Source organism: Homo sapiens, chromosome 20 (assembly GCF_000001405.40).
Source record: "Homo sapiens chromosome 20, GRCh38.p14 Primary Assembly".
Taxonomy (NCBI): Eukaryota; Metazoa; Chordata; class Mammalia; order Primates; family Hominidae; genus Homo; species Homo sapiens.
Genome location: NC_000020.11, coordinates 19,196,639 through 19,216,832, shown reverse-complemented (window position 1 = coordinate 19,216,832; position 20,194 = coordinate 19,196,639). Strand labels below are relative to the sequence as shown.

Genomic DNA, 20,194 nt, shown 5'->3' with positions numbered 1-20,194 from the left:
GACCCAAAGTATCCATAAGCAAAAAAAATTAAGTGGCTGTTTTACACCACTAACTTTTGGGGTGACTTGTTATGCAGCAATAGCAACTAGTATAGAAAGTAGCTCAAAGTATATACATAAATACATACATACATTCATGCACATAGGTATATGTACATATGTGTGTGTATATGTACATGCATGTGTGTGTAATTTTTTTCTTTTTTTCCTTTTTTTCTGTTTTTGAGACAGGGTCTCACTCTGTTGCCCAGGCTGGGGTACAGTGGTACAATGATGGCTCACTGCAACCTCAGTCTTCTGGGCTCAAACAATCCTGCTGCCTGAGACTCTGAGTAGCTGGGATTACAGGAATGCACCACCACACCCAGCTAATTAAAAAAAATTTTTTAAGAGATGGGGTCTTACTATGTTGCCTAGGCTGGTGTATATTTTTTCTTAATTACTATTGACCTCCCTGAGAACCTTCTAGAGAGAAAGTCTAGAATTACTCCTCAGTTAGAATCCCTGGGCTTTATCCACACTACTTCTGGAAAAAAAATGGCTGGGTAGTTCATGTCAAAGAAAAATATAACACTTTTAAACCACTCAAAATACACAAAAGTAATCTATTCTCATTGCAAAAAGGAAAGAAAATCCTCCTCAGCAAATCTAACACCTTATTTTAATTGGCTTTGAAAACAGAGATCAAAAATGAGATCTTCATCCATAACAACTAAATAGGGCAACTAGAGCTCATTGCTTTCCACCACTGAAGGCTCATGCCTCCGAAAAGAGTGTCTGCAGATTAAATAAAGCAATACCTATAAGGTGGGAATAGCGCATTGCCTGGCACATAAGAGCCCACCAAAATTCCAGTTATTATTATTGCTTTTGTTGTTAGAATTTCTTGATTCCAGCACTAATTCTTCCTGACCTAAATTAAGCAGACCTCATGTTACACCTCAGCAGAAAAGAATCAATGTAGATTCTTACTGCATATAACCAAATACTGAATATGTGGAAAATGTTTTCAGTATATAACCAAAACTTTTCAGTACATAGCCAAATCTGAGTTTCGTTAGATGTCTAGAAAGGGATCTTGGATTCCATATGATTAGAAATGTTATGAAACATCATATAATATAATTATCACACATCTCTATTTTGCTTTGGTAAAAGAACTGTCATTTTAAGAGGAAAGAAGAGAGAAAGGAAGGGAGCAGGAAGGAAGAAAGAATGAAGGAAGGAGAGAGGGAGGAAGGGCCAACAGAAGGAAGGAGGGAGGGAAAGGTCAATATGTGTTAGAAAACGAGCTTCTGAGAAGTTACATTTAACAATCACTGCATGGCTTTCAAGGTGACTAAATGAAAATATTACCTTTGATCATTATGAAGGTACCCCCTATGAGATTATATAAATATTACAAAGCTACACCCAAATGGTGGTTTGAATATGAGGACAGAGTAGGGAACAAAAAACCAGGTTACCTCAGGTTGGTTTTTTCCTCTACTCTTCGAATGCTGTGTGACTTTAAGCTAATCACTCAGCCTCTCTACACCACAAGGTCTTCGAAACAATGCTCCATTCCAAACTTCAGTATCTGTACCAAAGGACCACTAGGTAGTGTGTGCTCCAAGTTTCCAGGGTAAAAGTCACCATTCAAATGCTTACGTGTGCCAAACGACAATTCCCCTTGCAAAATTATCATTTGCAGATTCACACACATTAATTAATATGTTAAAAATTATCTAGAAAAACCTGTGTCTTGCTGCAAAATACTACTGTGCATCACATACCAAAATCATCAATACCTAACGGAAAAAAAAGTGATTGGAGACCATTTCAACTCATATGTCATTCGGGGGCAACACAGGGAGGCTGGCTGGCATCCTCCTTAACATTTGGCTTTTGCCTGTTAGATCTTCAGTTACTGGGGTGTGGAGGGGTCCTAAGACCAACAGAGATGAGAAGGGAGGAAGAGGAAGTGAGAGGAAAAAAGAATATGAAAGGTAGGAAGGAGAAAGGTAGGACAGAGGGAGGGATGCGGAAAAGGCCGTGCTATGGAACTAAATCTGAGTCAGTGGCACCTGAATAGAAATGTCACTACCAGGGAAACCATTCCAAAATGACATTCCAGTCCCCAGGTTTCAAGTTTGCAGAGTGTCTGGCCTCCTCTCCTCCCAAATCCCAGCTTTTCAGGGCCCAGGCAGCCCCCTGTCACTGATTGACTTAACTATATGAGTCACATCCTTCACCCAGAAAAAAATGTCTTTTATATTCTTGAAAGTGGTGGGAACTCTATGTCTCATAGAGCCCCAACATACCAGAAAAAAATGGCCAGCGTGTAATCCACTAGGAATAGCCCTTTCCAAAGGTGGCATGAACTATAAACTGGTTTTTCACTGGAGAAAAATAAAAAAGGAAAATAAAAATGGGATTCGGGAAAACCCCCTTAGTGAGACTGTCAGTAGACAGAAGTCTGGCAGATGTGAATCTGCCCTGGGAGAGATTCTGCTTCCCTCACACCGGCACGGCCCCCTTCCTGATGTCAGAACCCAAGGCTACGGGATCTGAGATCCAGGAGAGCAATGGAGAGAGCCGTGGAGTCTTGAACAGCTTCACTGAAGACCAAGACGGACTCTCTGCTATTACCATAAATGATGAAGTCTGTCAAGCGGTCTGCTAAGACTGAATGAAGACTGACGCCTGTTTCACTTCCCCACCAAGCAGGAGACCAGCCAAGCTGGGGGAGATCCCTTTTTAAATTCATGGCACCTTTGAAAATATTTTACGGTGACTATCAAAATGTCTTTATTCTGCACCTCATGACATCTTGCATTAGAGCTACGTCGACCTCAACACCACAGCACATACTTGTAACTGTTTTTTTGTTTGTTTGTTTTGTTTTGTTTTGTTTCTTTCTCACAACCCTTTACATGGCTGTTTTCCCACTAATCGTGCCACTTCCACGGCCGGGATATAAAACCATTTTACAACAGTTATTCTCCCATGTTTTTCCTTCATTTTATAGACAGCTGAATCCCAGGATCGAAGCTGTTTCAGCAGACAACTGTTGGGAGCACACAAGATCTATTTCAGCTCAAGAAAGGCCAAGGACAAAGACAAGACAAAAGTTGTGGGTTAAAGGGCAGACTTTGCGCAGAGCACCGGTAGAGGAGCGGACAGTGTGATGCGTGGTCCACTGCAAACCATTTCTTCCACAGCAGCAGCTCTGCAAAAGGGACCTCTGAGGAAGAATTCCCTGTCTTCCCAGTGAGTGGTCATTTTAGGAGAACAAGTCCCCTACTAGCCCATAGCTGGAGGGCCAACACTTTTTCTCTCCCTGAAGTTCCCGGCACCTGTTCTGAAAGGGGGTTGAAGAGCTCTCTACTCGGGCCATCCCGCCTGCTCTCTGGATGGAGAACATACGGACAACTGTGTGTTAAGCAGTCCCCTTGAATCCTTCAGCAAGCCAAGGAGTATACAGGTGGTCACCTGCACAGGTGCCGGGTCTACCACCACAACTTTATCCCTGGCCTTGGGGGCTGATGGAGAGTAAGACTCCCCACCACCGCCACCAGCAGTACCTCCAGCTCGCGAGTAAGCAGCGCACAGGCGGGCACAGGTAAATGTTCCCAGGGCGGCCAGACGCCTAAGCCTGCTGGCTGCTGGCGCTCAGGGTCCCCACCTCCATGCCTCTGCGTGGGGCAGGGGGAGTCCTCGTGCCTGGCATCCCACTCCCCCCGCCAACCCAGCCCGCTTATCCTGGGGCTCCGGCCGGGCCGCCCGAAGGAGCCCCGCGCCCAGCCCCGGGAGCCCCGAGCCGCCGGAGCCGCAGCGCCCACTCGGGGCAGGCAGCGTGCACTCACCCTTCTGCTCTCGCAGGCTCGACAGCGACCAGAGCAGCAGCGCCACCGAGGCCAGGAAGCAGAGCTGGCTCAGCAGAAGGTCCCTCCGGCGGCGGCGGCGGCGGCGGCGACGCGCGCGGTCCTCGTCGCCGGACGGCCGCATCCTCGGGCGGCCGGGCGGCGGCCTCGGCGGGCGGCGGCCGCTCCTGTCGCGGGCGGCCGCGGCGGGGACAGCGGCAGGAGGCAGCCCTGCGCGCAGCAGCCGCGCGTCCTCGCTGCGCTCCCACCCGGCCGCCGCCTCCGCCTCCTCTTCCTCCTCCTCGCCGCTGCCCGTCTCCTCGTCGTCGCCCTCCTCGTCGCTATCGCCCAGTCCCTCCTCCCCTCCCTCCTCCTCCTCCTCGCCGCTCGCCCGCGCCGCCGCCTCCCGGCGCTCGGGGTCCCGCTCCTCCTCGCGCGCCATGGCTCCCACGCTCCGCGCCCGCGCTCGGCCTGGGGCGGCGGCGCGGCGGGGGCGGCGGGGGCGGCCGGGAGGCGGGGGCGGAGGGGGCAGAGGAGGAGGAGCGGGGAAGGACCGACGGTAGGAGGGCCCGCCGCTGGCCAACTCCGCCGGTTGGCAAAGCCACCCCGGACTGGCTCTGGCCTCGCCGGCTGCAGGAGCGCCTCGCGGGGCCGCCCGCCTATTCCATGGTCGGCGCGATGGGGGCCGGGGCCGGGCCGGAGCGAACAGGGAGCACCGAGCGAGCTGGGAGCATGAGCTAGCGCAGCTCCCGGCAGCCTGCAGCGGCGAGGCTGGTCGGGCCAGGGTTGGCGGGGGGCAGTGCCTGGGACACAGCCCGGCGCTGGCCGGCATGGCGGGGAGGGGGCGCGCTGGGAGGAGACTGGGCTGGGGAGGGATCCCTGTGTGCAGTCCTTCAACCCTTCTGTGCCAGGGGAAGAGGGACGGCGCAGGGGGCCCCCTCTCGGGAAGCACACACGCTGCCTCCCAGAGGCCGATCTTCACCAAGAAGGATTCGCTGGAAACTTTCGGAAAACCGAGGGGCTCTTCAGCCTCCTCTCTACGTGCTACCTGGAGTCGGGGCGCCGCGAGTGCGCTTGGCTGCCCGCGCCCAGCCTCTGGCCTCGCCTCTTCTCGCGGGCCTCCCGGGTTTCCCTCTGCCCCCTTGCGGGGATCCCCCTGTGCGCCCGACTCGGGATCTGGAACAGGCCTCCCCAGAGGCTGTTAGTTCCATAAGGGTGTCCGGCTCCCCCCTCTGTCTTGGGCTCACACTTCGCTTTCTGTTCGTGCTGGACCAAGTCCAATACTGTGGCTGATCGAAGTGGGGACAGCTGGCACGGTCCCTGGAGAGGCGGCCTGAAGAGGCTTCTGGCCTTGTGCAGGTAACACCAGCCTGCCCTACCTCCAACGTTAGAATCTTAGTCCTCCCATTTCCCCCATTCTAGGTCTCCTGCCCCTCCTTGCTGAAGGTGTGGGCTGCCCTAGAGATGGCTGGACTCACGACCTGCCGCAGGTGCCCATTTGGAGGGGATCCCTGGCCATCCCAGACACAGCCCACTCTCCCTCATTGGGCTTCCCTGGACTCTTCCCAGATGCTAGCCTGGGGCTGCTGGCTGGGCTGAGGAGGAGATGCCATTGTTGGGGCGGAGGGTGGGGGGGCGCTGAAAACAAAAGACCTTGTCCAGAAAGGGATCACCTGAAACCAGGTGTCTGTCTAGGTGACTGTCTCCATGGAATCCATTCAGATCAGGGAATCTAGCTTCATACCCTAAGGAGGTGGGAAGGAAGCAGAGAACCTCTGTATAAGGCTCCCCTGTCTAGGTCTGTTCAAATGTGTCCCCACCTGTGACTGACCTACCCCCCCCGACCTCCTCCCAGACAATCCCTGACAGCGCCCGGGGACAGCAAGGTCACAGCAAAGGGCAAAGGAAGTGGTTATAGGTGGCCTCCTTTCCAGAGAAAGGCCATCTCACCCAGGGAGACCAGAGACTTTTCCTTTGTGGGTATATCATTTATGACTGCTGTTCTCAGCCTGGCATCTTCCAGACACTCAGAGTACCTCCCCCACAATGCCTGAGTGGTTTTCCCTTTGCTTTGGCTGCAGATACTAAGGAGGGTGTAAAAATACGAGTTCATCCGTGCTGGAGTGTGTGGGGAGAATTCTCTAGTTGTGTTATCTCCATCAAGCTTTTGCAGACACAGAAAAGAAAGTTTAGGAGCTGAGAAGAATTCAACTAACCAGGAAAGTCACTCAAATAGTGTTTTCTAGTGAAAACGAGGGAAAATAGAAGGTGAGAGAGGGAATCTGGAATTAATTGAGTTAGGAAATGAACACAAGCTCCAGGGGAAAATACCATAGGCTCAAGGAATTGTGTAATCTGGTGATGGAGGGGGAGTTAGGAAGGGAGCCAGGAGGAAGGAGAATAACCAGGAACTGGTAATTTCTTGGAAATTATCTCAGCACCAGGAGTGTATGTGTGTGTGTGTGGCGGGGTGGGGCGGGGGGGCCGGGGGAGAGCACTCCTGTGGCACACAGAAATGATTCTTGGGTTTCTATTCATTTTGACAGATTTTGGAGTGAAGGGCACTGTTAAAGTAAAGCACAGAGAGTGATTCCTTGGGCGGCCAGGCACCACCTAGGGAAGAAAGGTGGGGATCCTGGTCCCTAGGCTGACAGCAACTGAGACCTGATAGGTTCCTCAGCCCCCCAGGTGATGGCCAAGTGAGACAGGCCTCAGGAGCTCCTCTCCAAAGAAAACAGTCATTTTTTTTCCTACCTGTCCCTTTCAGTCTTTGGAAGCTCCCTCCAGAAACCGAACTGTGAAAGGAGCAAGAGTTGAAATGAAGAATGTGCTCTGATACTTCAGTCTGAGAGTATTTCTTTCCTGGAGAGAGAGGCATCACTCCTAGATGTGTGGGGGTCTTCACCCTTTCAGGAATAAGACAGGTGTCTTTACAGAGCACCTCCCCACCTTGGGCTGGGTTCTGGGGTCACTGTCTACTCCCCCTGTTTTGACCTTCCATAAACATTCTGTTTTCAGGTCCCTGCAGAGACTTTGGACCTGATGTGGTGAATAAAGTTGGTTAGTCTTTCTCACAGTTCTACCTTTAGGACAAAGAATAGAAAGCCTCCCGTGACTATATTCACTAACTCTCAGCCCAGGCCAGATCATCCACCAGCCAGTGAAAGGGACCTCGTCTGTGGCCAAACTAGGTGCAGCTCGGTGCCCTCCTGTGATATTTCCAGCTCTCCAGCCTCCTGCTGACCACAGCTCACAGACCTCATGGAGTAGTTTCCAGGACAAAGCAAGGTTATGTCTCCACAACACCAAACATTCCCAGGTGTGGCAGGCAAGCCATTGATTTAGAAGAGAGGAGGAGAGAGGAAGAGAAAACCAGAAAAGGCACTTTCTTGGTAAAGAGACATCAGCTTTCTCACCATGGCTGTTTCATAACACAAGGAGACCTGGCCCAAGCTCAGAGGGGAAAGACCCCTGGGTGTTCATGGAAAACCTTTAAGCACAGTGAGACCAAATGTTAGTAGATGGGGGATAAAAGGGAGAAATTCATGGAGTATGCCTAGAACAGGCCTTGTATGCAGCATCCCCTTCTTGCCTAGGACTTGAAGGGCCAGGCTTCCTGTCATTGCCTCACTCAAATGTAGCCCAGGAAGACATTAGACTGATAGCACTGATCACCTCCAGACAAAACCCCTGCACCTGCACAGTCACATAGACTTGGACAAAAGCCCATCCTTACTAAGGAAGACCTAACAACTATTTCTTCTCACGCCCATTCTTGTCCACCGTCTTTATCAAAAAGCCAGGAAAACTGCTTCTTCAGACACTTTCTGAGCCGGCTGTATTTTGAAGGACAAAAAAAAAAAAATTACTCTTTTGAGAGCATTGTGTCTGCAAGGTGGGCTCACGTTATTTTTGGTGATCAGTTTATGACTGGAGTTCAAATAGACTGCTTATTTTATAAGAGTTTTTAATTTTGAATATTCTTTTTGCTGAACTGTGTGCATTTGTTTGGTTTTTAACTCACCACATGAATATGACTATAGATTTTTTTTTCCTAGTTGACCATGGTCAGATTCACAATTGCCTTTAAAAAAAATTTGTTGGCTGGGCACGGTGGCTCACGCCTGTAATCCCAACACTTTAGGAGGCTGAAGCAGGTGGATCATCTGAGGTCAGAAGTTCGAGGCCAACCTGGCCAACATGGTGAAACTCCGTCTCTACTAAAAATACAAAAATTAGCCAGGCAGGGTGGCGCATGCCTGTAATCCCAGCTACTCAGGAGGCTAAGGCAGGAGACTCTCTTGAACCCGGAAGGTGGAGGTTGCAGTGAGCCGAGATCACGACACTGCACTCCAGCCTGGGTGGCAGAGCGAGACTCTGTCTCAGAAGAAAAAAAAAAAAAAAAGAAAATGTGTTGAAGTATAACATACATGAGGCAAAACGCACACAGCTTAAGCATTAACTCAATGACTCTGTATATACGTATACATCCTCACAGGTTCCAGACCAAGACATGGAACATTTCCTGCTCTCCCTGAAAGTCTCCCTGTGCCAGCCCCTCACCAGGCAATAATTCCCCAGAGATAGTGCCTCTTCCCAACCCTGTACCCTAGATCATTGTTGCCTGTCCTTGAACCTCAGATAAAGGGAGGCTCCTTTTGCCCATCTTCGTTTTTGTGATGTCTGTCCATTGTGGTGTGCATAGCTGTGATTTGTTCTTTTTCACACTGTGAAGGTGTAGGTGGTTTTCACCTGATGCTTCAGTTCCCTTCCAACTTTAGTATAAGCCAAGAATAATCAAACCACTACATCTGGATCAGAGACAAATGACCTCCCAGATTGGCTAGTTTTGTAAGGAACTTCAGTTGAAATTGAAACAGTCATCAGCTGCTTCTCAAACCAGCTACACTACATAAGGAGGAGCCCAAGGGAAACTGCAGGACAACAGGTCCACTGGGAAACTTCAGGGGGCCAAGCTGTCAAAGACAAGCACAGAAAAATTCCTGCAATGTGCGTTAGACCTTGAGGCAGCTTTTAATGGCAAAAGTCAGTACAACCCATTTCCTTTTTCTCTAAATGAGAGGAAAGTAGAATAGGTTCCATCAGGAAAGAGTCACACCCAGGCCATGACAAACTCATGGAGGATCCTGTCAATCAAATTCCTTTCTGCTGGGCAGAAAAAGTATGTGGGAGCTTGTTAGTAAGGTGCATTCCCAACCTATCCTGAGGATGTGGGACTCAGGAAGCCCAACAATCTGCCCTATTTACAAGGTCCCAGGTATCCTTTCATATTAAGATTTGAGACCTGCTGTTTCAGAGAAAGGGACAGCTTGGCATGTATTTTTTGGTAAATCCTGGAGGGCAAGTCTAAAAAGCAAAAAATATACCGCCCAGCACCTATTTGTTGATATTTTAAATTGACTTGTTTGGGGTGTTTGGAAGAAATAAAGACAGAGTATGAAAACACAACCTGTAGCTATGTCTATATGTATTTCATTTTTCACTTGAGTACTATGTTTCTTAAAGACTCCTGTAAGAAATAATTCAGAACCACATAAATAATAAAGAGATTAAAATTTTAAATCCACAGAGGACAAACATTAAGTATTCACAATTTGAGGAATTTGTTCATTCTGTCAGGATCATTCAGAAAGAAAACACATACATGCCACTAATTTAATTTTGCCCTCGTAAACTTGGGCAGACAAGGTGCTGAGTGTGGCAGAGGAGCCTGGGGAGAGCCCTGAGGGCTTATTTTTGTTAATATACAAATATTAGGCTTAGGTATCCTATATTTTAAATCAAGACAATAGATCTAAAAAATGTTTTAGCATTTTGAAATTTCAAAACTTCATCCTGGTAGACCATGATATGCAGTACATCTTAAGTGGAAAAAAAAAGAAGCTACACTATGAATTGTATAATCCCATTTTTGTAAAGTTAAGCAAAATCATCTCTCTCTCTCTATCTCTGATTACTTTGGGATGTGGGATTACAGGATTTGGGGTTGGGGATCAGAGAATGTAGAGGGACTTTCACTTTTTATTTTATACTCTTCCATAGCTTTAAAATTATTTTTCTTCCATCAGTATGTCCAATTTTATTAATTAAAAAAATAAAGAAAAATTAAAAGAATCTGCTCATGTGTAAGCAGTTAAGGCAAGTTGACTTAAATGAAAGGAATTGAAATGGTTTGACTTTGGCAGGGTTGAGCATGAGGCTAGGCTGGGCCTCCAGGCCTGGCTTCCAAGGAGCTGCTCCTCCCTGCCATGGCTGGCAGCTCTGTGCCCGAGGCTCATTCGGAGGAGCCCTGAGATGACAGGGGAAAGGCAGCCCAGCCAGGTGGTCTGCTACGGCTGGAGCAAGAAGCTGGAATTCTGATTCTGATTTGGCCACAGATCTAAAGTATAGTCCATTCCTCCCCTGTGCCTCAGTTTCCTCAATGGTAAAAGATGATGCCAACCTTTCCACAGAAGGGTGCTTTGCGGCAATGAAGCATTTTGAAAATACAAAACATTCAGATGAGAGAGATGCCAAAGTCAGTTGGCTCTTTGTACTTTAGACAGCCCTGTGTTATTCTGATGGGGATAATCACAGCAAACCCCTCTTGCCCAGGGCCTCAAATCTGACTGCGGAATCCACTTCAAGCCCAGCTCAGCTGTCCAGTGCAAAAACTTGAGTGGTAAACACATGACCCATCACCAAGTCGTCATCCTCAGAGAGACCTGAGGCTAATGGGATGGTCTCACGTTATACAGTGCTGTGTCCATCTCCTCATCTCAGTTCATCGCCCAGGTTTCCAGCCCCAGAACTGCAGAATGATTGGGTCCAGATGCTCTTCCTAGGATCGCTGTGGCGGTGCGCCCCCTGGTGGCAGCGGTAATTCTCCTGCTGGGGGATTTCTGTGTGCCTGAGATGTGTTTCCTACCTGCCCTTGACTGGTTCAGCTTAATCTTTGACTTCACAGCCTCATTTCTTTCCACATTTCCAGTCAGGTGACATGTGACATTAAGATGACTGGTGTGTCGCATGCAGCTCTTCCTGTCTCCCGAGTTTGTTTCACTGGCAAGAGTTTCTCAAAGAGTTCCTTTAGGTACTTAAATATTTCACTTTTTAAAAATTAAGTCCCTTTCTTTGAAAGTTTATGCCAGAAATAGACAGGACTCATGCATAGCATTTTCTTTCCAATCATTTAAGTTCTTGGTACTCCAAATGTTGTCCCTGGACCAGCAGGCACTAGGAGTTGGTGGCATGACCTGGGAGTTAGTTAGAAAGGTAGACTCCTGGGACCACTGCATTAGAACTTGCATTTTAACAAAATGCACAGATTGAAAAGCATAGATTTGGTTGATATTTCCTCATAGATGAGATGACTAGGAATTCATAACTACCCGTATTCATAGCTAACTATATGTTACAGCACTCACGATTACACATACCTTTTCATTTTTTCAACTTTCCACGTTTCATTTGCTTTTAAACACCTCTTAAATATGGAAAACCACAAGAACCAAATTCCCAACGTTTAAGCATTTAAAGTAGTCTACAAGCAATAGCTTCTAAAGTCTCCAAGGAATAAGAATTCCAGCTACAGCATCAAACATTTAGCTGAGAATAGCAACACACCCTATTCCATATAATATTGAAAAGAAAAATTTCGACGTTAAATCCCACATCATTGTAAACTATGTTAGTTCAACAACACCAGTGCATAATGCATTTTAAACACAAAACAGGGTATAACTTAAACTCTGATGAATAAGTATCATGAGAATTTGAGCATATCTTGGTGAAATCATTTTTATTTTTTCAAAGTGTTCCTACCCATAGTCGGCATTAGTCATGTTCTCATTAAAATACCATGTCCAAAAATATCAAGTTTTTGAGTAAGATGACAAAAATTATTAAACGAATAAAAATTATTCCTTTGAGATGCTAAAAAGTAGATATAACTTTTTTTTTTTTTTTGAGACAGAGCCTTGCTCTGTTGCCCAGGTTGGAGTGAAGTGGCACAATCTTGGCTCACTGCAACCTCCGCCTCCTAGATTCAAGCCATTCCCCTGCCTCAGTCTCCCAAGTAGCTGAGACTAAGGGCATGTGCCACCACGTCTGGCTAATTTTTGTATTTTTAGTAGAGATGCAGTTTCACTATGTTGGCCAGGCTGATCTAGAACTCCCGACCTGAAGTGGTCCTCCCGCCTTGGGTACAACCATTTTTGTTTAACTTTTTATTTTGAGCTAATTTTGGCCTTACAGAAGTCATAAAAATAGTACAGAGAATCCCAAGAGGCCCTTCATGGATCTCATCCTAATGTTATCACTTTGTGTATGGATGGTAAAATAACGAGAGCTACAAATTAACGTAGCAACAATAGTACTAAATAAACTACAGAACTTATTCAAGTTTCATAAATTTTTCCCCAGTCTTTCCTTACTTTCATGACTTTGACACTTTTGAGTACGAATGATTTATTTCACAAATGCCCCTCAATTTAGTTTTGTCTAATATGTTCTCATTATCTGGATGAGGTTATGCATCATGGTAATGGAATTATGCCATGTCCTTCTCATTGCCTCATACCATGGGATTTCTGATGTCAATATGTCTTATTATTCGTGCTAACCTTGATAACATGGAGTTAATATTTTGGGAAAGGTACTTTGAAGCTATGCAAATTTTGTTTCTCTTCAAAATTTCACCCGCTAATTTTAACATCCATTGATGAATCTTATCTGCAACAATGATTACTGCGGTATTCAACTGTCATGTAAATAGTTATTTGCCATTTTTCTGAAGCATTGAATGACAACTAGAAAAGAGAGCTGTGCTCAAACAATGAACAACGAGGAATGGGGAGAGGAAAACAGAAGGGCCCCTCTACAGGTTGTATTTTCTTTTTTCATTCTTTGTAGAGACAGGATCTTGCTAGGCTGATCTTGAACTCCTGGCCTCAAGCAATACTCCTGCATCAGCCTCCCAAAGTGCTGGGATTATAGGCATGAGCCACCATGCCTGGCCCAGGTTGTATTAATAGCAACAACAGCAAACCCTAAGGAAGAGGAAGAATATGATTTTCAGACTTGTCATGTTATGTTACTGGAGATGTTCAGTTGTCAATTAAAAATTTTTAGACATGTAAAGAAACAAGAAAGTATAACCCATAACAACAACTACCAGAAGTTAACATACAGTGTCTGAGGAAGCCCAGATATTGGACACACTAGACAAATACTTTACTTTTATTTTTTTTATTTCAGTAGGTTTTTGGGGAACAGGTAGTGTTTGGTTACATGAATAAGTTTTTAAGTGGTGTTTTCTGAGATTTTGGTTACCCATCACCTGAGCAGTGTACACTGTACCCAATGTGTAGTCTAGACAAAGATTTTAAATCAACTATTTTAAATATGTTTGAAGAATTAAAGAAACCATGTCTTTAAATGTCTTACAAAATAGAAACTTTCAATAAAGAGATAGAAACTGCTTTTAAAAATAAGACAAATAGAAATTCTGAAGTTGATGAGTGCAATAACTGAAATAAGAAATTCACTGGAGGTTTTCAGCAGCAGATCTGAGCAGGCGGAAGAAAATATCAGCAAATTTGAAGACAGATCAATTGAGACTGTGTAGTTTGAAAAAGAAAAAGAAAAGAGAATGAATAAAAATGAATAGAGCCTCATACGTGTGATGCAACATATGTATCATAGGAGCCTCAAATGGAGAACAGAGAAATAACTGGGAAGAATATTTAAAGATATAAAGCCCCCAAACGTCCCAACTTTGATTAAAACATTATGCACCCAAGAAGCCCAGTAAACTTCAAGTAATATAAAGAGATCCATATCTAGACACATTTAAATCAAAGTGTTGAAATACAGAGAGAATATTGAAAGCAGCAATAATTAAGAGATTCTTTATATACAATGGAGGCTTAATAGTGTTAACAGCTGACTTCTCATCAGAAACCATGAAATTTAGAAGGCAGTGAAATGACGTGTTCACAGTGCTGAAAGAAAAGAACCATCAACCAAGAATTCTGCACCAGTAAAGCTATTCTTCAAAATTAAAGAAGATATTAGACATTTCCATATTTTTTGAAAGCAGAACTTGCAGACTCGTCAACAGATGAATAGATAAACAAACCTGTCTTGTCAACACAAAGACACACACACACACAGGAATATCATTCAGCATTAAAAAGAGGGCTCCTGCTATTTGCCACAATGTAGGTGAATCTGGAGGACATTTGGCTAAGTGAAATTAGCCAAACACAGAAAGAAACATATCGCATGATCTCACTTACATGTGGAATCTTCTTAAAAATTTAAATATACAGAGATAGGGAGTAAAACAATTATTTACTGGTCAAAGAGGGGAGGAAATGAGAAGATATAGGTCGAAGGATACAAAGTAGCAGATATGTGGGATAAACAAGTCAGATTTCATGTCCAACATGAGAACTATCATTAATAAAATTGCATTGTATTTGGGATTTTTGTTAAATAAGTAGATTTTTAGCCGCTCTTGTTACAATAAAAAGTAACTACATGAGTTGATATATATGTTAATTTGCTTCACTATAGTAAGCTTTTTACTATTTATATGTAACCCATACATCATGTTGTAAACCTCAAATATACACAATAAAATCCATTTTTTAAATAAAGATATACTGAAGGGAGTCCTTCGGCCTGAAATGACTGGACACTAGAGAGCAACTCAAATCTACATGAAGAAATAAATAACACTGGTAAAGGTAACTACATGGATAAATATAAATTAATGTAATTATATTTTTATTTGCAACTTTTTATACTATCTAATTTTAAAGACTATTGCGTGAAGCTATAATTACAAATCTGTGCTGATGGGTATACTATGTATAAAGATGTAATCTTGATGACAATAACAGCATAGAAGAGGGAAAGGAAATGGAGTTATGTCAGAGTAAAATTTGTGTACACTCTTATAATTAAGGTTGGAAATACAGTGGTAAGATGTTCTTTGTGATCCCCAGTTTAAAGTAACTTTAAAAACTAGTAAAATAAATGACAATAGAATTAAAATGATATGCTATGAAAATTTCTACTTAACACAAAATAAACTAACAATGGAAAAATAGAGGACCAAAAATGACATAAAACATATAGAAGACAAATAACAAATGGCAACTGTAAATCCTACCTTATCAATACTTACATTATATGGGAATTGATTTAAAACTTCAAGCCAAATGCAGAGATTTGCAGAATGGATAAACAAAAATGTAAGATTCCAGTATATACTATCTACAAGGGCCACACTTTAGGTTAAAAGACATAAATAAGCAGAGAGTGAAAAGATGGGAAACAATGAACCATGCAAACAGTAACCAAGAGAGACCTGAGTGGCTTAAAAAACATCAATCAAACAGACTTTAAGAGTTATTACTAAAGGGCCGGGCGCGGTGGCTCACGCCTGTAATCCCAGCACTTTGGGAGGCCGAGGCGGGTGGATCATGAGGTCAGGAGATCGAGACCATCCTGGCTAACAAGGTGAAACCCCGTCTCTACTAAAAATACAAAAAATTAGCCGGGCGCGGTGGCGGGCGCCTGTAGTCCCAGCTACTCGGGAGGCTGAGGCAGGAGAATGGCGTGAACCCGGGAAGCGGAGCTTGCAGTGAGCCGAGATTGCGCCACTGCAGTCCGCAGTCTGGCCTGGGCGACAGAGCGAGACTCCGTCTAAAAAAAAAAAAAAAAAAAAGAGTTATTACTAAAGACAAAGGACATTTTATAATGATAAAAGTGTCGATCCATCAAGAAAATATAATTATTCCAAACATATATGTGCCTAACAAGAGAGTTTCAAAATACATGAAGCAAAAGCTCATGGGATTGAATAGAGAAATGGTCAAAAATAATAGTTGGAGACCCTTATAGCCTACTTTCAATAATGGATAGAACAACTAGGATGAAGATCAACAAGGAAATAAATTACTTTAATACTTTAACGACACTATAAACAAACTCTACCTAGTAGACATCTATAGAAGAGTCTACCCAAGAATGGCAGAAAAAATATATTCTTCAAAAGTGTACATGAAACATTCCACAGGCCAGACCATATATTAGACATCCTCCAGAAAAACAAAAGACACACACACACAAAAAGAAAAAGATTGAAATAATGCTAAACACATTCTCCAACCAGAATAGACTGACACTAGGAATCAATATCAGAAGGAAAATGAGGGAAATTCACAAATCCATGAAAATTAAACACTGATAAATAAATGGGCCAAAGAAGAAATCAGAAAAAAAATTTAAAAAATATGTTGAGATGAAAATACAAACAAATGCAACAAATCAAAATGTATGAGATGTAACTTAAACAGTGCTCAGACACAGAACATACTCTAAGATTGACTATATGCTTGGTCCTAAAGCAAGTCTCTACAAATTAAAAAAAAATGTAATTATACCAGCTCAGACTGCAGTTGAACAGAATTAGAAATCAATATCAAGAGGAACTCTCCAAACTATACAAGTACATGGAAACTAAACAAATTGCTTCTGAATGACTTTTGGGTAAACAAAAATATAAGACAGAAAAGTATTTGAAACAAATTTAAATAGAGGCAAAATGTATCAAAACCTCTGAGATGCAGCAAAAACAGTGTTAGGAGAAAAGTTTATAGCATATAGCGATAAACACGTATATCAAGAAGATATAAAGATCTCAAATTAACAACCTAATGTTACACCTAAAGGAACTAAAAAAAAAAAAAAAAAACAAGAACTGAATCCAAACTTAGCAGAAGAAAAGAAATTACTAAAATAACAGCAGAACTAAACAAAATTGAGGCCCCCCCAAAACATACAAAGGATCAACAAAATGAAAAATTGTTTTTTGAAAGAGAAACAAGATTGATAGACCACTAGCTAGATTGACAAAGAAAAAAGAGAGATCTAAATAAGCCAATCAGAAATGACAAAGGTGACATTACAACCAATCCCACAGAAATACAAAAGATCCTCAGTGACAAAAGATCCTGCAACCATCTCTATGCACACAAACTGGAAAATTTAGATAAAATGGACAAATTCCTGGAAACACACAACCTCCCAAGATTGAACCAGAAGGAAATTGAAATCCTGAACATACCAATAATAAACTATGAAATTGAATCAGCAATATAAAAACTTACCAACCAAAAAAGACCTTCAACAGATGGATTCACAGCTTAATTCTATCAGATGTACAAAGAAGAGATGGTACCAATCCTGCTGAAACTATTCTGAAAAATAGAGAAGAGATTCCTTCTTGACTCGTTCTATAAAACCAGTATCATCCTGATATCAAAATCTAGCAAATACAACAACAAAATAAAACTATAAGCCAATATCCCCAATTAACATAGATGCAAAAATCCTCAACAAAATGCTAGCAAACCAAATCCAGTAGTACTTCAAAAAGATAATCCATCACTATCAATTGGGCTTTATTAATGAGATACAAGGATGGTTCAACATATGCAAATCAATAAATTGATTAACCACATAAACAGAATTAAAAGCAAAAAATATATGGTCATCTCAATAGACATAGAAAAAGCATTCAATAAAGTCCCAAATCCCCACATGTTAAAAACGCTTAACAAACTGGGCATCAAAGGAACACAATTCAAAATAACAAGAGCCATCTATGACAAATCCACAGTCAACATTATACTGAATGAGCAAAAGATGGAAACATTCCCCTAATAACTGGAACAAGACAAAGATGTTCACTTTCATCACTCCTATTCGACATAGTACTGGGAGCTTCAGCCAGAGCAATCAGACAAGAGAAAAAAATAAAAGTTTGTCAAATAGGAAAAAAGAAGTCAGATTTTCTCTCTTGACCGACAATGTGATTCTATATCTAGAAAACCTGAAACATTTCACCAAATAACTCCTAGAGCTGACAAACAACTTCAGTAAAGTATCAGGGTATACAATCAAGGTACAAAAATTAGTAGCATTTCTATACACCAATAATGTTCAAGCTGAGAACTAAATCAAGAATACAATCCCATTTACAATAGCCACAAAATAAAATAAAATACCTAAGAATACACCTAACCTAGCATGTGAAAGATCTCTGCAAAGAGAACTATAAAACACTGCTGAAAGAAATTACAAACAAATGGAAAAACATTCCATGCTCATAAATTGGAAGAAGAAATATCATCAAAATGTCCATGCTACCCAACATGATCTGCAGATTTAGTGCAATTCCTATCAAATTATCAACATCATTTTTCACATAATTAATTTTAGAAAATTAATTTATAAATTTAATTTTTCTAAAATTAAAATCATAAGTTTAGAAAAAACTATTCTAAAATTCATATGGAACCAAAAAAGAGCCCAAATAGCCAAAGCAATCCTAAGAAAAAGAACAAAAACAGAAGCTAGATTACATTACCTGACTTCAAACTGTACTACAAAGCCACAGTAACCAAAACAGCTTGGTACTGGTAGAAAAATAGAACCCAAATATAAAGCTATATACCTACAACCAACTAATCTTTGACAGAGTTGACAAAAAGAAACTGTGGGAAAAGGATACCTTATTGAATAAATGGTGCTAGGAAAACTGGCTAGCTATATGCAGAAGAGTGAAACTGAACCTCTATCTCTTACCATAAGCAAAAACCTAGGAAATACTCTTCTGGACATTGGCCTTGACAAAGAATTAAGAATTAAGTCTTCAAAAGCAATTGCAACAAAAACAAAAAGTGAAAATTGGTAACTAATTAAACTAAAGACCTACTGCACAGCAAAAGAAACTATCAACAGAGCAAACAGACAACCTACGGAATGGGAGAAAATATTTGCAAACTATGCATCCAACAAGGTACAAATATCCTGAATTTATAAGAAGCTCAAACAATTCAACAAGAAAAAAAACAAGCAGCCCCATTAAAAAGTATGCAAAGGACATAAATATACACTTCTCAAAAAAACACATACAAGTGGCCAACAAACATAAAAAAAAGTGTTCGGTATCACTAAACATCAGAGAAATGCAAATCAAAATCACAATGAGATACCATCTCACACTAGTCAGAATGACTATTATTAAAATGTCAAGGCCAGGCCTGCTGCCTCACGCCTGTAATCCCAACACTTTCAGAGGCCGAGGTGGGTGGATCATGATGTCAGGAGATTGAGACCATCCTGGCCAACATGGTAAAACCCCATCTCTATTGAAAATACAAAAATTAGCTGGGTGTGGTTGCAGGCACCAATAGTTCCAGCTACTCAGGAGGCTGAGGCAGGAGAATCGCTTGAACCAGAAGGCAGAGGTTGCAGTGAGCTGAGATCACGCCACTGCACTCCAGCTGGCTGACAGAGTGAGACTCCATCTTAAAAAAGAAAAAAAGAAAAAAAGAAAGTCACAGACATTAGCAAGGTTGCAGAGAAAAGGAAATGCCTACATATTGTTGGTGGGATTGTAAATTAGTTTAGCCACTATGGAAAGCAGTTTGGAGATTTCTCAAAGAACTATAAATAGAATTAGTATTCTATCCAGCAATTCCATTACTCAGTATATACCCGAAGGATAATAAATCATTCTATCGAAAAGATGTCTACACTTCCATGTTTATTGTAGCACCATATAATAGCAAAGACATGGAATCAATCTAGGTGCACATCAATAGTGGACTGAATAAAGAAAATGTAGTACATATACAGCATGGAATACTATGCAGCCATAAAAAAACAACAAAATCCTGTCTTTTGCAGCAACATGGATGAAACTGGAGGCCATTATCCTAAGTGAATTAATGTAGAAATAGAAAACCAAACACTACATGTTCTGACTTATAAGTGGGAGCTAAACATTGGGTGCACGTGGACATAAGGATGGGAAAAATAGACACTCCAAATAGACAGTCCTTTTGGGTACTCCAAAAGGGGGACAGATGGAGGTGAGAAAGAGTTGAAAAACTACCAATTGGGTACTATGCTCACTACCTGGGTGAAAGTTTCAATTGAAACCCAAACCTCAGCATCATGCAGTATATCCACATAATAAACCTGTACATGTACCCCTTGAATCTAAAATTTTTTAAAAAATTTAAACCAGATTACATGTTTAGAAGAAAACCATCCCAAAGTCAGTAATCTTGCCAGGAATCAGAGTACCTAAGAGTATGGCTTTAGAGCCGGAATGTCTGAGTACAGATCCAGGTACTGCTGCTTACTAACTTTGTAACTTTGACCAAATATCTTAATCTCTATGTACTCAAGAATCCCCATTTGTAAAATGTAAATAAAAGCTTTGTACATCTTATAGGGTGGTTATGAACATTAAGTGAGCT

General features: G+C 42.5%; 1 protein-coding gene and 1 long non-coding RNA gene across 6 annotated transcripts in view, besides 2 other annotated features; one reads left to right on the top strand and one right to left on the bottom strand.

The window, feature by feature from the left end:
• Window positions 1–4,191, bottom strand: part of SLC24A3 (solute carrier family 24 member 3) — a 510,285-nt gene extending 506,094 nt beyond the window's left edge. Inside the window, exon 1 of the mRNA NM_020689.4 lies at window positions 3,849–4,191. Coding sequence (NP_065740.2) covers window positions 3,849–3,990 — 142 coding nt within the window. The 5' untranslated portion in view covers window positions 3,991–4,191. The remainder of the gene's footprint in view (window positions 1–3,848) is intronic.
• Window positions 3,791–3,840: a silencer, noted in NCBI's record as "silent region_12705". NCBI's record gives its function as "represses an Ori minimal core promoter by ATAC-STARR-seq in GM12878 lymphoblastoid cells {active_cell/tissue: GM12878}" and the evidence as "EXISTENCE:reporter gene assay evidence [ECO:0000049][PMID:35858748]".
• A 173-nt stretch (window positions 4,192–4,364) lies between the features above and the next one.
• On the top strand, window positions 4,365–9,314 carry LOC101929547 (uncharacterized). 5 transcript variants are annotated; one of them, XR_007067548.1, is made up of 3 exons: window positions 4,365–5,204; window positions 6,613–6,769; window positions 6,864–9,314. It is a non-coding gene; the product is annotated as an uncharacterized LOC101929547 (long non-coding RNA). The 5 variants fall into 5 exon arrangements; XR_007067549.1 differs by having other exon boundaries at window positions 6,392–6,769; XR_007067550.1 differs by having other exon boundaries at window positions 4,720–5,335.
• Window positions 8,826–9,384: an enhancer, noted in NCBI's record as "OCT4-NANOG hESC enhancer chr20:19188093-19188651 (GRCh37/hg19 assembly coordinates)". NCBI's record gives its function as "activates a minimal SCP1, AML or CMV promoter by ChIP-STARR-seq in primed H9 embryonic stem cells {active_cell/tissue: H9 hESC(primed)}" and the evidence as "EXISTENCE:reporter gene assay evidence [ECO:0000049][PMID:30033119]".